Below are 15,071 nucleotides of genomic sequence, written 5' to 3'. Positions count from 1 at the left end.
ATCAGTTAAAGACTCTGGAAAAGCTTTTCAGCCAATATTTGGATGTAGCTTTATTCTATCAAAGAAATATGTGATAGTGTTTCCTAAAATTACCTTCAGCATTTAATGTGGCTTTTTTAATTAGCAAACTATTTGATATGCTTTATAGGACCGTTTATTGGGTAAATGATAAAAACATGTCAGATTCACAGAATGTACAACCTCCATATACATGCATAGTGGTTTTTTTTTTTTTTTGAATTATGTGTATTTTCATTTGTTTTTTCTTTTGTCTCCTGTAGGCCCTCCTGTCGGTCCTTCGAGAAAGCCATCGTTCAAGAACAGTTTTTAGGAAAGTTGGAGGATTTGTGTACATTACATCCTTGCTCGTTGCTATGGAAAGATCTTTGAGCTGTCCACCCAAGAATGGCTGGGAGAAAGTGAACCAGAATCAAGTGTTTGAACTTCTTCACACTGTGTTCTGCACGTTGACTGCAGCAATGCGCTATGAGCCAGCCAACTCTCATTTCTTCAAAACAGAGATTCAGTATGAGAAGTTGGCAGATGCTGTTCGATTTCTTGGCTGCTTCTCAGACCTAAGAAAAATAAGCGCCATGAATGTCTTCCCCTCAAATACACAGCCATTTCAAAGACTTTTAGAGGAAGATGTAATCTCAATAGAATCAGTGTCACCCACGTTACGGCACTGCAGTAAACTTTTTATTTATCTTTACAAAGTAGCCACAGATTCTTTTGACAGGTATGGCTCTGCTCTGTCCTCTGAATTAAAGGGTGTATACTAAGCATGACTTCAACATTAAGACTTGAATTATGAGTTAATCCAAAAGAATATGAAAACAGATGACTCTTCTCCTATTTGTTTGAAGTGTATCACTTTATTTTTGAATATTACTCTTGCTCTGGTATTGTTTTTTTTTTTTTTTAGCATGGAAGCCTGTGTACTATTTGTAAATTCAGGTTCAATTAGTTCTCATTGCAGTTATTGGAACAGTTTCTATGAAGTTTCCTTTAATGATAGTGTTTACTGTTGTTTTTTTTCTTTTTAGCCTCAAAAGGTGCATCTGGACTTATTGATATGTGTTATCAATAGAACATCATTATGATTATTCTTATTTCCAGACACGTACTCCATCATTCTCCACATATCATACTCCTCAAAAAATGATATAGTTCCCAAAGAGAGGTGTCAGTGTCTTGAACCGTCAAGTTCAAGAGGCCATCAGACTCAATATTTACTCATTCCTTCATGAAATAAGTACTTAACAAAAAGCTGCTGCATGCCAAGTCACTGTGCTAGGCATTGAGGATTCAGCTCTACACAGGGCTGTCTTGGTCCTTGCTATCTTTTAGCTAAAATGTAGACACATAAATAAACAATTACATATAGTGTGACACATTCTACAGTGGGGGAATCCAGGGTTCTCAGGCAGATTGTAGGAGAGCCACTTCATCTAGATCACTTATTTTCAGTGCTTCAACTGTGTTTTCAATGAAGATGTCACTTTGAAAATAATACTTCTAATTTATGCCCCAAGTGTTATTGCTTTTAACTTACCATAGTTTTACTACATAAAATAAATGAACTGCCCTCATCAATAGACCATGTAACTACATTGGATAGAGCTTGTAATAGGTTTTGTGTCCTTTTCTGTGGAATATCTGCTTTGAAGTATCAACTGAGATATTTCCTGCTTCTTAACAAGATTTCTTAGTCCTCAGTATTTACATTTAAAAATCCAAACAGCTTTGACAACAATTGTAAAAAAAAAAATCATTAAACTTCTGCTTTTCCCTATCTTGAAGTAAAATGCATATGTATAGTTAATTTATCGAAAACACAGGACAGTGTAGTGTTCTAGGAATGAGCTATATAAATTTGTGTATTCAGATTCAACCTCTTTTCCCTTGATTTCTACTTATCCTAGTTAGAATACATCATTTTTAGTCACTGTCAAAAATAGGGCTTAGAGCACCCTGTTTAACAGATGTGTTAAATGTTAACATGAATGGAATAAGCATCTGCCGTGAGCATGCTTTTCTGTTTCATTCAGTGCTTGTGTTGTAGTCTTGTTCCTTGTTCCTGCTGAATATGGAAGATGTTCCTTATTAAACTTTTACTGGCATTTCTTGTGAAACTAACCAACTGCCAACCTGGTGTTCTCTTCTTCTAACCTCTCTAAACCACCCTGTCTGTTTTGTTGTCTGTAGTCGTGCAGAACAGATCCCTCCTTGCCTGACAAGTGAGTCTTCTCTCCCCTCTCCTTGGGGTACACCAGCTTTGTCCAGGAAAAGGTACTGATCATATAAGAGAAGTCAGTCTCTATTTGTGTGGGGTTCCTTTTTTTCTGTGCTTATTTATGTTAACATGTTGATTGTGTTTTGTGATTTCAGTTTTTTTTTGTTTTGTTTTGTTTTGTTTTTACTTTTGGGGTTTTGGGGGGTGTTTTTAGATTTTAAAGATATCAGTTTTTCATGAGAGTAAAATGTGTTGATGCTATGAAACTATGAAGGACATATATAATTTTGTCATCCAACTGTTTTCATAACTAAACTACACATTTTTGTTATAGAAAAAACATGTCTTTTATTAAAAATAAGTTAGAAATGTGGACTTAATGTCTCTAAGTAGAATACTTTTCCACTTTTTTTATTTTTCATTTTTTTTTTATTTTTTACTTTAAACGTTGGGATCATTTGTTGGTTTTTACTGTTATTCCAAAATGAATTTCATAGCACTGAAAGGAACTGTGTATTTTCTCCATCAGATTCAACCAATTGAAGTATGTTGCTGTTATGAAAAATGCTCACAGCTAAGCTTTGAAAAAGTTAGTAAAAAACCCACCCCAATACTTACTTTGATCAGTGCTCTGTAAATCTCTAAGCTGATCTAGTTGATCTTTTTAAAACTACCTTTAAAAAAATTCTACTCAGTTTTTTAAAAACTACAGTTGATTGATGCAACCTGCACATAAAATGATCATGGTCTGCAGTTGGCCCCAAATACTTCATTACTTTTCCTGTTTTCCTCATAACCAAAAATAAGTCCTTAACTCTTACATTAATATTCTTTCATTGAGGCTTTTAAAAAATGAATCCCAAGGTTCTGCTATATTGTTGTTTTAATCTTATTACTGTTGTTCAGATTTTGAAACTTGAAGATAGTTGGAGTTAGTACATCAAAAGTATTTGTTACGGATTCAGTATTTCAACATATTTGCATAGTAATATTAGGTATATGAAAAGATGTAATTTCATTTTTCTCTTAAATTTACACTTATAGCTTACTTTGCACAACAAACTATGGCATGGTTCAGAATAGTCTTAAATGAATATAGGATTGTTCAGTATATTTGTGCTTAAAAACTGCAATTTCTTTTTTTAAAAAAGCTGTTCCTAATTCAAGGAATGATAAACTAGATAAATTTGAGTTGATATCGTGTATTTTTCTGTTGCTAAAATGGTCGAGGTAAAAAATGTGTGTGTTTGAAAATTTATGTTTGTTCATGAGCCCAAGGAATTGTTGAATATTAGAGAAATAATTTCAATTAGTAGTTTAAATTACTAAAAATCACAATTTAAAAATATGGTGATTATATCATAAATGAGTAAAGCCTTAAAATTTGCTGTTTAAAAACATTTAGTCCTTTTTAAGTATTAACCAAATGCCACAAAATAAAAATACACAGATTAAAAGGATACTTAAAAAAATACATCAGGGCCAGGTGCGGTGGCTCGCACCTGTAATCCTAGCACTTTGGGAGGCCAAGGCGGGTGGATTGCCTGAGGTCAGGAGTTTAAGACCAGCCTGGCAACACGGTGAAACCCCATCTCTACTAAAATACAAAAAAAAAAATTGGCCGGGCATGGCAGCGTGCACCTGTAATCCCAGCTACTCAGGAGCTGAGTCAGGAGAACTGCATGAACGAAGGAGGCGGAGGTTGCAGTGAGCCGAGATCACCGCACTGCACTCCAGCCTAGACTACAGAGCGAGACTCCATTTCCAAAAATACATCAGAACTTTCTATTTATTGAAATGGTAATTTGACAAAGGGAAAACAGCATTCTCTTTTTATTCTTAAAGAGTTACTTATGGCCTTAAATCAAAAACATATTGTCATCATTTACAGTGTAGCTCCATGTAGAGATAACCAGGTCTTTGACTTAAGGGAAAACTGTCACTAAATCAGTATAGCTAGTTGATTGAGCCCTAATCCGTGTGAATTCTCCATGAGTCTTACAAGTTGACATTACCCCAAGGACAGAAAGTCCCTGATACTGTTCATGCTAATACTAAGATGATTGTTGACATTTTCAGGTTGCCATTCTATTCAGCTTGCATACATTTTGCTCAATGGTAAGAATCATAAGCTAGTAAAGAATATTATGTTTTTTACTTCACAAATTCAAGTCTAGTGACTTGAAATTAGAATTTAAGTCACACTGTTTCTAGAACCTCTCAACAAATTACATCAGCTTATAGACATCTTTTTCTTGTAGCAAAACATACTGTTTTGTTGGCAAAAGGAGAAACCAAAATTTGACTGTGTTTTTATGGCTTGTGGAACACTCTCAGATGCTAAGGACGTTTTGAGGTTGTGATACTTGTCTGACATGTAGTATCCAGGAGATTCTTCTCTAATTATTTTAAGGATTGGGGGAAAATGAACTAGCTGACTTTATATTTGGAAAACTAAAACTCAAAACCTTTTTCATTGTTGATTATTCAGAAGGAATAATAGAACAGAATTATAGCTGAACAGTGTTCAATCAGAGTTAGAAGAAGTGAATACAAAATAATAATCAGAACTCTACAGAATATAACTGCAATGGAACAAAAGGTGGCAAGTACTTGTTATTCTTCAAACATGGGATCCATTACTTAGTGCCTCTACATACCTGATGATAAGTTAAGCAAAGCAGATTCAGAATTTAAATATTATGTATTCCCAAAAGAGGTAGATGAATCTTAAATATATATGAGAATTTAGGTCAAAATATTAAATAGCAACCAAATTATGAAATGTAATTTTATCCTATCTTTGCAAATGGTTAGTTCTTGCTTGGGAATTAGCCATTTAATAAGCTTACCATAATTCCAAAATTTAAAAGGTGATACCTGTGGTGATACCTAGGTGATTTAATCAGAATTAATTTTGTATAATGCCTGTTGTAATACACCTAATTTTAGTTAATAAATACCGTGTTTTAGATATCAGCAATGTTTGCAATATTTTTCTGGTTTGAAAACAATGAATGTAATTCCTTTTTCAGAATATTGCTTTCTTATATAAGATAAAAAATGTACTACTGTAATAATTATATACAGGTTGAGTATTTCTTATCCAAAATACTTGGGACCAGAATTGTTTTAATTTCCACTTTTTTGGATTTTGTAATATTTGCAATATATATAATGAGATATCTTGAGTATGGGACCCAAGTCCAGACACATAATTTACTTATGTTGCATATACATCTTATACAAGTAGCCAGAAGATAATTTTATGTAATATTTTTAATAATTTTGTACATGAAACAAAGTTTTGACTGTGTTTTGACTCTGATCCATCATATAAGGTCAGATGTGAAATTTTCTACTTATGGCGTCATGTGGGTGCTTAAAAAGTTTTGGATTTTGGAGCATTTCAGATTTCAGATTTTTGGATTAGGGGTACTCAACCTGTGTTAGTAAAGAGTTCAGTGTCCAAAGATGTAAAGATTTCTTCCTGAGTGTATCAGTAATTTAAATCCAAATCTCATCAAATCTGTCAATTTAGAAATGATTTTGGAAGGCCTATAACTAAAATAAGACAATTAGAATCTATGCGTATGTGTGTATATGCAATGAAAACATGTTTAATGAAATTTTGGAATTCAGTGGTTATTTCTGATACATGCTAGATAAATTATGAATCTTTTTTCTAGATGGATCAAAATATTTAAAAGAATAAAGGGAGCAATATAGGAGGAGGATAACTGTTGGTAATACACATTTTGAATATTTTTCTTAGTAAGTTTAGAAATTAAATCTTTTTGAATGAAAAATGGCAGAATACAGGGAGTGAAAACATGAATGGGTAAAGGACATGCTGCCTTTTAAATAAACTAGGAGAGCCTGTGTGCCTTTTTATAAGTAAAGCGGAACATTTTCCTAGAATCCCTGTTAAAAAGAGAACGGTATTTTTTTTAAACCACGGCAGTGCCAATTCTTTGCTACTAAATCAGTGACGTAAAGCATCTGTTTCCCAAGCTGCTCTTGTCCCAGAGAGCTAAAACTGCATTGCTCTCTGTGACAGAGCTCAGCATTAGGCAAATTATGCTGAGACCAACTCATTGGAACAAAGAGTTCCCATAGGCTGAAGCCACAAGCATCTGTTTCTTAGTGCCAAGATGCAAAATGTGCAAAATTCATGAATTGTAGATGAGTAGTATGAAATAGAAAGTAGAGATCATTGATGAGAAGAAATGTGTACATTCAGGACATGGCTGGGCTTTCTAATTCATAGAAACTTTTTCTGTAAATTGCTTTCAAGTTTTTAAAAGTTGCAATGAATATTTTCAGTGATAATGAGGATAGATGCAGAAGATGAAAGTAGTTCCAAATAAGCTAAAGGAAAACTCCCACAATGCCAAATATATTTATTCTTGGATAGCTTAGACTCTGAGACAACCCTGACTCAGCTGACCCAGTTAGTTGTTGATTGTGTTACTCATGCACTAAGGAAAGGTTAAAACACATATAGGTAATTTCAAAAGATAAAATCTCACTGAGGGAATTAATTTAATTTGATCTCTCATCACGTATTATTGGAACTGTCATCTTCTAGAGCTTTGAATCACTGTGATTGTACTTGTTCTTTACATCTTGTGGTACAGGTGTCATTTTTTAATCAAACAATCCATATAGTAAATCAGTAAAAGTAAAAATCATATAAAGGCTATGAATAATGGATAGTTACATGGTCTGCACACACCCACCCACACACATGCGGACACACACACATATCAACTCGAGTTGATAATATATTCCTTTTTTTCTATCCCAACCTTAAGGTGTTTTCTAACAAGGCTTTTTGGTTATCAGTGGATGAAAGTAACTGAAGAGGAAGAGAATGTGATTGGAATTCAATACCAAATTTACTCTTTCTTTTTTTATAGGCATGCATATCATTCTGTTTCAACTCCCCCTGTTTACCCTCCTAAAAATGTTGCCGACCTGAAACTACATGTGACAACTTCATCTCTGCAGAGTTCTGATGCAGTCATCATTCATCCTGGAGCCATGCTTGCCATGCTGGACCTACTGGCCTCTGTTGGGTCAGTGACACAGCCAGAAGTAAGCTTGAATATGTTAGTTCCTTCCCGTCTGTAATGAAATGAATGAAAGGATGTGAGTATGATTATATGAGCTAGGGGGTTGAGGAAGAAAGTTAATATTACATACTAAAGTAGCTGAAGGGGAAAAAAAAGGATTTTTTTATTTGAGTGTTACCTTTCATGATAAATGGTAGATATGTATGTTTTAGAATCTAATTCATTCATTACAAAGACAACCAAGGTGGCTTCTTCTGGTGCTAGAATAATTCTGTTTCTCCTTATAAATCCTGCTCAGCAGTGGACATTGCTAACGAATAATACAGAAGGAAAAATGACTGAAGATACTACATTGAGGCTATTTGTCTGTTTTGACTTGTTGCACTCAAGAGTTTGAGCGAATTGGAGTTTGGGTGATGATTTTTATTAAAATGTTATATAGCCTCTAAGGCCTAAAGTGTCACAGATGTAAACAATAGGCTTGCCTTTAAACTAGTTATCTGCCCACCATTAAGAAGATTTTATCCCTGCTATTTCTATAAAAATAGAACTACTTTTAGTCATATAGTCATGTAATACAAAAGGCTTGGAAGAGAATAGAGTCCAGCTGCCTGTACTTCTAGCAAATTAAAATAGGACATGTTTGCCTAACCTGTTCTGGAATTGCTATATTGCTCTAAGCAAGTTACTTATCTGAATGTATTTGGAAGCATATAGAGACTTCATATTAAAAGGTATGCTTCTGGCCAGGCGCGGTGGCTCACGCCTGTAATCCCAGCACTTTGGGAGGCTGAGGCGGGTGTATCACGAGGTCAGGAGATCAAGACCATCCTGGCTAACACAGTGAAACTCTGCCTCTACTAAAAATACAAAAAATGCAAAAAATTAGCCTGGCATGGTGGCAGGCACCTGTAGTCCGAGCTACTCGGCGGACTGAGGCAGGAGAATTGCTTGAACCCAGGAGGCGGAGGTTGCAGTGAGCCGAGAGCCGAGATCACACAATTGCACTCCAACCTGGGTGACAGAGCAAGACTCTGTCTCAAAAAAAAAAAAAAAGTATGCTTCTGCCGGGTGCGGTGGCTCACGCCTGTAATCCTAACACTTGGGAGGCTGAGGCAGGTGGATCACCTGAGGTCAGGAGTTTGAGACCAGCCTAGCCAACATGGTGAAACCCTGTCTCTACTAAAAATACAAAAGTTAACTGGGCGTGGTGGTGGGCGCCTGTTATCCCAGTTACTTGGGAGGCTGTGGCAGGAGAATCACTTGAACCTGCAAGGCAGAGGTTGCAATGAGGCGAGATCACACCATTGCACTCCAGCCTGGACAACAAGAGCGAAACTCCGTCTCAAAAAAAAAAAAAATTAAAAAGGTATGCTTCATGTGAAAAGAATTGTCATCTTTCTCACTAAGAATGACCTGACTGTGTGGATTTCTTTGTTGATTTTAGCATGCTTTGGATCTTCAACTTGCCGTGGCAAATATTTTACAATCCCTGGTGCACACAGAAAGGAACCAGCAAGTCATGTGTGAAGCTGGTCTTCATGCACGACTGCTGCAGAGGTGCAGTGCTGCATTGGCTGATGAGGACCACTCACTGCACCCGCCCCTGCAGCGGATGTTTGAACGATTAGCCTCTCAGGCTCTGGAACCCATGGTGTTGAGGTAAGTTCTCTTTCATACTCAAATAGTCCACAATTAGTAATGTCAGTTTCTAGAGTCCTTATGATTCCAGAATTCCTGCCTTAATGGACATATATTCAGTTATCTATGGGCAAAATATAACAAAAATGGACAAAATACTCAAAATATGGCACTTAGAAACAAATAAATCTAGTTATTAGTAATCATTTAGTGTTTCTGTCCATCAGTTATTTCTTTCATTTGAATCTAGCAAGCTCTCACTTTCCTTTAAAAATGAAGTCATGCGTTTACTTTATATTTAATAACTTTTCATATGTAAGAAGTTTTTAAAGAAATACTTTTTAACCTTTTAATTTTGAAATAATAGATTCACCATAAGTTGTGAATATAGATCCAAGAGTTTTCCTGTGCTCTTTGCCCATTTTCCTCCAGTAGTTACACCTTACATAACTATACTACAGTATCCAAACCAAGAAATTGATATTGGTATGATGTATTCATGTGCACATACAATTATCTGTTATTGTATCATGTGTAGATTCATGTAATCACCACACAATTACGATGTCACAAAGATTTCTCTAGTGCTACCTTTATTGTCATACCCACTCCCCTAACCCCAACATCGTTAGCCCTTAGCCCATGGAAATCACTGATCTGTTCTCCATCTCCATAGTTTTGTCGTTATGAGCAGGGGTCTCAAACCCCCGAGCCATGGACCAGTACTGGTCCATGTCCTGTTAGGAACTGGGCCGCACAGCAGGAGGTAAGCTGTGGGTGAGCCAGCATTTCCGCCTGTGCTCTGCCTCCTGTCAAATCAGCAGTAGCATTAGATACTCATAGGAGCGTGAACCCTATTGTGAACTGTGCATGCAAGGGATCTAGGTTGGGCACTCCTTATGAGAATCTAAATAATCTAATACCTGATGATCTGAGGTGGAACAGTTTCATTCTGAAACCATCCTCCACAATCCATCTGTGAAAAAATTGTCTTCCACAAAACCGCTCCCTGATGCCAAAAAGGTTGGGTACCACTGATTTTGAGAATGTTACATAAATGAAGTTATACAGTATGTGATCTTTTCAGATTGTCTCTTCACTAATCATATTGCTCTTGAGCTGCACACAAGTTGTTACATGTATCAGTAGTTTTTTCTTTTTATTATGAATAATGTTCCACAGTATGGATGTATCAGAGTTTGTGAATCATTCAAGAAATATATACTTACATATGTGTATTTCTTGAATGATTCATATATATCTGTCATTTCCTCCAGGAAGCCTCCTGCTTTGAGCCACCCTTCCAAAAGTCTGGGTAGGCTGCCCCTATATAAACTCTATAACACTGCTGTTACATAACTTATTATTAGAGTACTCCTCTTTTATAAAACTTTTAGGAGCTTTCTTAAAAATGGTTGAAATTTATTTGTAAGTTTTTAAAACTGACTCCAAACTGATTGTGGATTAAGAAACTTTTATGCAGTAAACATTTGTTAAATGGTGTTGTATCAGGCTGTGTTCACGGCCTTTATAATGCCAAGATGAGTGAGATGGACCTACTCACTTCATCCATTATCTTGTAGTTGTACTCACCGTCCTAAAGTTTTGAAAATAGCATTGAGATTTTCCCCTGATCCTTTTTGGTAATCTGCTACTTTAAAAGTAGAGAAACACACAGAGAGAGAGAGAGACATTGTCCCATACCTAATGCTACTATTTTACCAGATAACTTACATTGCATAGTTAGATAAATAGAATAAGCAATGAAAATCAACCATTGGGTATGGTCAGTTTTCACAATTAGTGAGTTCTCAGAAAAAAGAAGTCAAATGATGGTACAAGTACTTTGCTACTTAAAAGCCATAGATTATAAACTAATTGTGTCTAACGTTCTACATGAAAAACTGGCAAACCTAACTTGTAAGCCTTTTTTGTTTCCTGCTGTAGGGAGTTGAAAATTTGGAGTATTCTACTTTTTTTTTTAACATGATGTTATAAATGACAGGTTATGGAGGGTTTATGCTCTTAAAAAATGTATCGTCTAGTAAAGAATACATGCAGATAAGCAGGAAATGAAAATATTGTTTATTAAGTTCGTAATAGCAGTGTTACAGAGTTTATATAGGGGCAGAGACTTTTGGAAGTGTGACTCAAAGCAGGCTTCCTGGAGGAAATGACAGTTAATGAAATAAAGTATGAGGCCAGGCAGTGTGGCTCATGCCTGTAATCCCAACACTTTGGGAGGCCAACGCAGGAGGATTACTTGAGGTCAGCAGTTTGAAATAAGCCTGAATAACATAGTGAGACCCTGTTTCTACAAAAAAAAAAAAAATATATATATATATGTATTAACTAGCATGGTGGCGTGTGCCTGTAGTCCTTGTTATTTGGGAGACTGAGGCCGAAGGATCTCTTGGGCCCAAGAGTTTGAGATTGCAGTGAGCTATGATCACACCACTGCACTCCAGTCTGAGTGACAGAGCAAGAGGCTGTCTCACACACACAAAAAAATGATGATAAATAAAAAACTCTAAAGTATGGAAGAGAGTTAATCAGGTGAAAAAGTAAGGGCAAGATTTTTTTCCCCAACAAGAAAAACAAATATGGTGGTCCAGGGTAGAGAAGGAGTACAGCATTCTTAGGCAGTCAGAAGTTTTATGTATGTCTTAAGTAGAATTTATGATTGCGGGAAAGATGGGAGCAGTGAAGCTGGAGAGTACAGTAGAAATCATCTCATGTATGGTACTGAATGCTAGCTGTTTTGTGTTTTCAACTACAGAAATGGACAGCCATGGAAGAGTCTTAAGCAATAGAGTGACACTGTGTAGATTTAAGTTCTGTGAGATACTGACTATAGTGAGGAATGGATTGAGTTGGGGCAATATTGGTGTCACAGGAGGTAATTAAGACTCTGTTTTAGGAATAGTAAAATAATATGGTCTGGGTGATAGCAGCAAGAATGAGAGAAAAGAGCAGATTCCATATTTTTATGAGTAGAAATAGCAGGATTTTCTGATTTTCTGAATATGGAAAGTTAAAGAAGGAACAAAAACACATTTCAGTGAGATGCAGAACATAAGAAATGCCCTGGGTTTGGATATAAGGTGATGAGTTTGGTTTTAGAAATATTTGAGTTGGGGTTCTTCTTAAATATTATTAACTTCTAAAAAATGAATTTATAAAAATGTATAGCAGATATATAGCTATATGGTGATTAGATGTAAAACTAACACTGTGTATGTTTTACTATACTTGCATTTTTTGTATTGTAATTAGTCTGTTGGAATTTATTAAATTCCTTTTTTGAAAATGTTTGGTTTATGAATTATAATATTCTCAACGAAGGAATAACTGTCTAAAAAACATTCTAAAAAATATGTGTCAGATATATAGCTATATGGTGATTAAATGTAAAACTAACACTATATTGTTTTATTATACTTTGCATTTTTTTATTGTAATTAGTCTGTTGGAATTTATTAAATTCTTTTTCTGAATATTTGGTTAATGAATTATATAATAATCTCAATCAAGGAATAACTTTGCTTTGTCTCTTTCTTAGGGAGTTTTTACGTTTGGCAAGTCCTTTAAATTGTGGTGCCTGGGACAAAAAACTGCTAAAACAATATAGGGTCCACAAACCAAGTTCACTGAGTTATGAACCAGAAATGAGAAGTAAGTTTTGAAATTCCCTTTTTTGATTTATTTTATGAATGAAAATCATGTAGGGGATGAATATTATTTCAAGAAGTTTGTGAAAGCAAAGAAAGAGAAGGGTTTATTATTTAAATAGGGAAACAGGCCCGGCGCGGTGGCTCACGCCTGTAATCCCAGCACTTTGGGAGGCCGAGACGGGCGGATCACGAGGTCGGGAGTTCGAGACCATGGTGAAACCCCGTCTCTTCTAAAAAATACAAAAAAAATTAGCCGGGCGCAGTGGCAGGCGCCTGTAGTCCCAGCTACTCGGGAGGCTGAGGCAGGAGAATGGCGTGAACCCGGGAGGCAGAGCTTGCAGTGAGCCGAGATCGCGCCACTGCACTCCAGCCTGGGCGACAGAGCAAGACTCCGTCTCAAAAAATAAATAAATAAATAAATAAATAAATAAATAAATAAGAATTGAGTTGTGATTTCCTTTGCTAAGAGTAGAAACAAAAATAGTTCCTTTCCCTAAGAGAATATTTGAAATATCTTTGTAGTTGCCTGAATATCCAGCACATTTAGGAGGAAAACAGTTTCCTATACTCATGTAGTTTATTTCGAGAGAGAATATTTTCTTCATTACATTTGTAATGTGTCCCTGGAGAGATAATGACAATCTGTTTAGAATTTGTCTTTTTATTCTTGAAATTGTTACCCTTTTTATAAATATGGGAATCTTTAAATTAAAGTACTTTTACGATCATGCATTTAGTTCTAATAATTGTAAGGAAAGAATTAATAATGGGGAAAAAATGGGAGAAGCAAGTTTCTGCCATTTATCTCTAATTTGTTTTATAATAAAGATGACCTATTTCTTTTCATTTTAATGGTCTAAAATTGTTTACTTTTCCCTCAAAGAGAATTAATAAATCATAGTTTTATGAAATAAAAGTATTTCCTGATTTGTAAACTATTAACTGAGATTTATAATTAAATTACATTGTATCAGTGGCTTTGATGACAATTATTTGAGATGTTTATTTTTATTTATACTCTAGTTTCCAACATTTCTGCAGTGTGCATATTGCTTTAGTAAAAAAGGAAACGCATGCTATTAAGTTTAAAAGTAAATGTACATTAAAACTGGATAATGATCTTGGCACTTAAAAAAAAATTATTGTCTATTGAAACTGAAGTGGTATTTACAAATAAATCAGCCTTGTAAAGTTATTTTGAAATTCCATATGACATTTTCCCAAGAGATTTCCTTGACTTACAGGTAGTATGATCACATCTCTGGAAGGTCTGGGTACTGATAATGTTTTTAGCTTACATGAAGATAACCATTACCGGATAAGCAAGAGCCTGGTAAAATCTGCGGAAGGAAGTACTGTACCCCTGACCAGGGTGAAGTGTCTGGTCTCCATGACAACCCCACATGACATCAGACTTCATGGGTCATCAGTTACTCCAGCTTTTGTTGAATTTGACACATCACTTGAAGGGTTTGGGTAAGAAATTTGCAAGGAAGCCAACCTTTATGGTTTTATGCGTCATACTTGCCTTTACAAATAGATCTTTGGTTTTAAATATACTTAATTAAAATATATTTTACCATACTTAATATTTTTTAATTATTGAGTTTTTTGAGCATGCTATTTTAAGATTACTACATTTAATTATTTTTGTTTGTTATACAAAATAAATTGATATGACATAGGAATCCAAAATCTTAGGCCCATGGACCAAATCTGTTTTGTTAGTAACACTTTTGCAAATTTTTTTTTTTTTTGTAAATGAAGTTTTATTGGAAAACAGCCACACTCATTTATATTTCCTATGGCTGCTTTTGTGCTAGAGTGTCAGAGTTGAGTAGTCATGATGGAGACTGCCTGGTTCACAAAGCATTAAATATTTATGATTTGGCCCTTTCCAGAAAAAGTCTGCCAACATCTAATGTAATAAATATAAATGTATAGATAATATATAAATTAAAATTAGATTGAAAACTCTTTGGGTTTTATCATCATCTATCCTTCAAATTACCTAGTATAATAATTTATACATTATAAATATTCAATGACTGTCACTTCAAATGAATAAATTATTTCAAGTGGCAGAAAAGATTATAGTAACAGAAATGGCAATAATGAATCTAAAAAATCTATAAGAATTCATGAAGTTCAACAGCCTAAAATAGACACAAATGCTAATAGATCTGGTAGCTAGATCTGTTAGCTATTAGAGTTTTGTTTTTTTTTTTTCCTTTTGAGTCAGAGTCTTGCCCTGTCACCCAGGCTGGAGTGCAATGGCGCGATCTTGGCTCACTGCAACCTCCGCCTCTCAGGTTCAAGCATTTCTCCTGCCTCAGCCTCCCAAGTAGCTGGGATTATGGGCGCACGCCACCGCGCCTGGCTGATTTTTGTATTTTTAGTGGAGATGGGGTTTCGCCATAGTGGCCAGGCTGGTCTCGAACT

General features: G+C 35.3%; 1 protein-coding gene and 1 long non-coding RNA gene across 30 annotated transcripts in view; one reads left to right on the top strand and one right to left on the bottom strand.

Moving 5' to 3' along the window:
• WDFY3 (WD repeat and FYVE domain containing 3) overlaps positions 1 to 15,071 on the top strand; it is a 297,094-nt gene that overhangs the window by 156,065 nt on the left and 125,958 nt on the right. For 23 of the 29 annotated variants that reach the window (XM_011531759.3, XM_011531763.4, XM_011531760.4 and 20 more), the window contains 6 exons: positions 282 to 739; positions 2,209 to 2,292; positions 7,159 to 7,336; positions 8,762 to 8,976; positions 12,518 to 12,630; positions 13,874 to 14,105. In XM_011531759.3, the coding sequence (XP_011530061.1) occupies positions 282 to 739; positions 2,209 to 2,292; positions 7,159 to 7,336; positions 8,762 to 8,976; positions 12,518 to 12,630; positions 13,874 to 14,105 (1,280 nt within the window). The remainder of the gene's footprint in view (positions 1 to 281; positions 740 to 2,208; positions 2,293 to 7,158; positions 7,337 to 8,761; positions 8,977 to 12,517; positions 12,631 to 13,873; positions 14,106 to 15,071) is intronic. The other 6 variants (XM_047449858.1, XM_047449859.1, XM_047449857.1 and 3 more) reach the window with 1 other exon arrangement.
• Positions 137 to 13,961, bottom strand: WDFY3-AS1 (WDFY3 antisense RNA 1). The gene is made up of 3 exons (NR_046707.1): positions 13,872 to 13,961; positions 7,217 to 7,366; positions 137 to 575 (listed from the first exon to the last, which is right to left on the bottom strand). It is a non-coding gene; the product is annotated as a WDFY3 antisense RNA 1 (long non-coding RNA).

This window comes from Homo sapiens, chromosome 4 (genome assembly GCF_000001405.40).
Source record: "Homo sapiens chromosome 4, GRCh38.p14 Primary Assembly".
Lineage (NCBI taxonomy): Eukaryota > Metazoa > Chordata > Mammalia > Primates > Hominidae > Homo > Homo sapiens.
The sequence above is the reverse complement of the archived record's forward strand: the minus strand, read 5'-3'. Positions and strand labels throughout refer to the sequence as shown.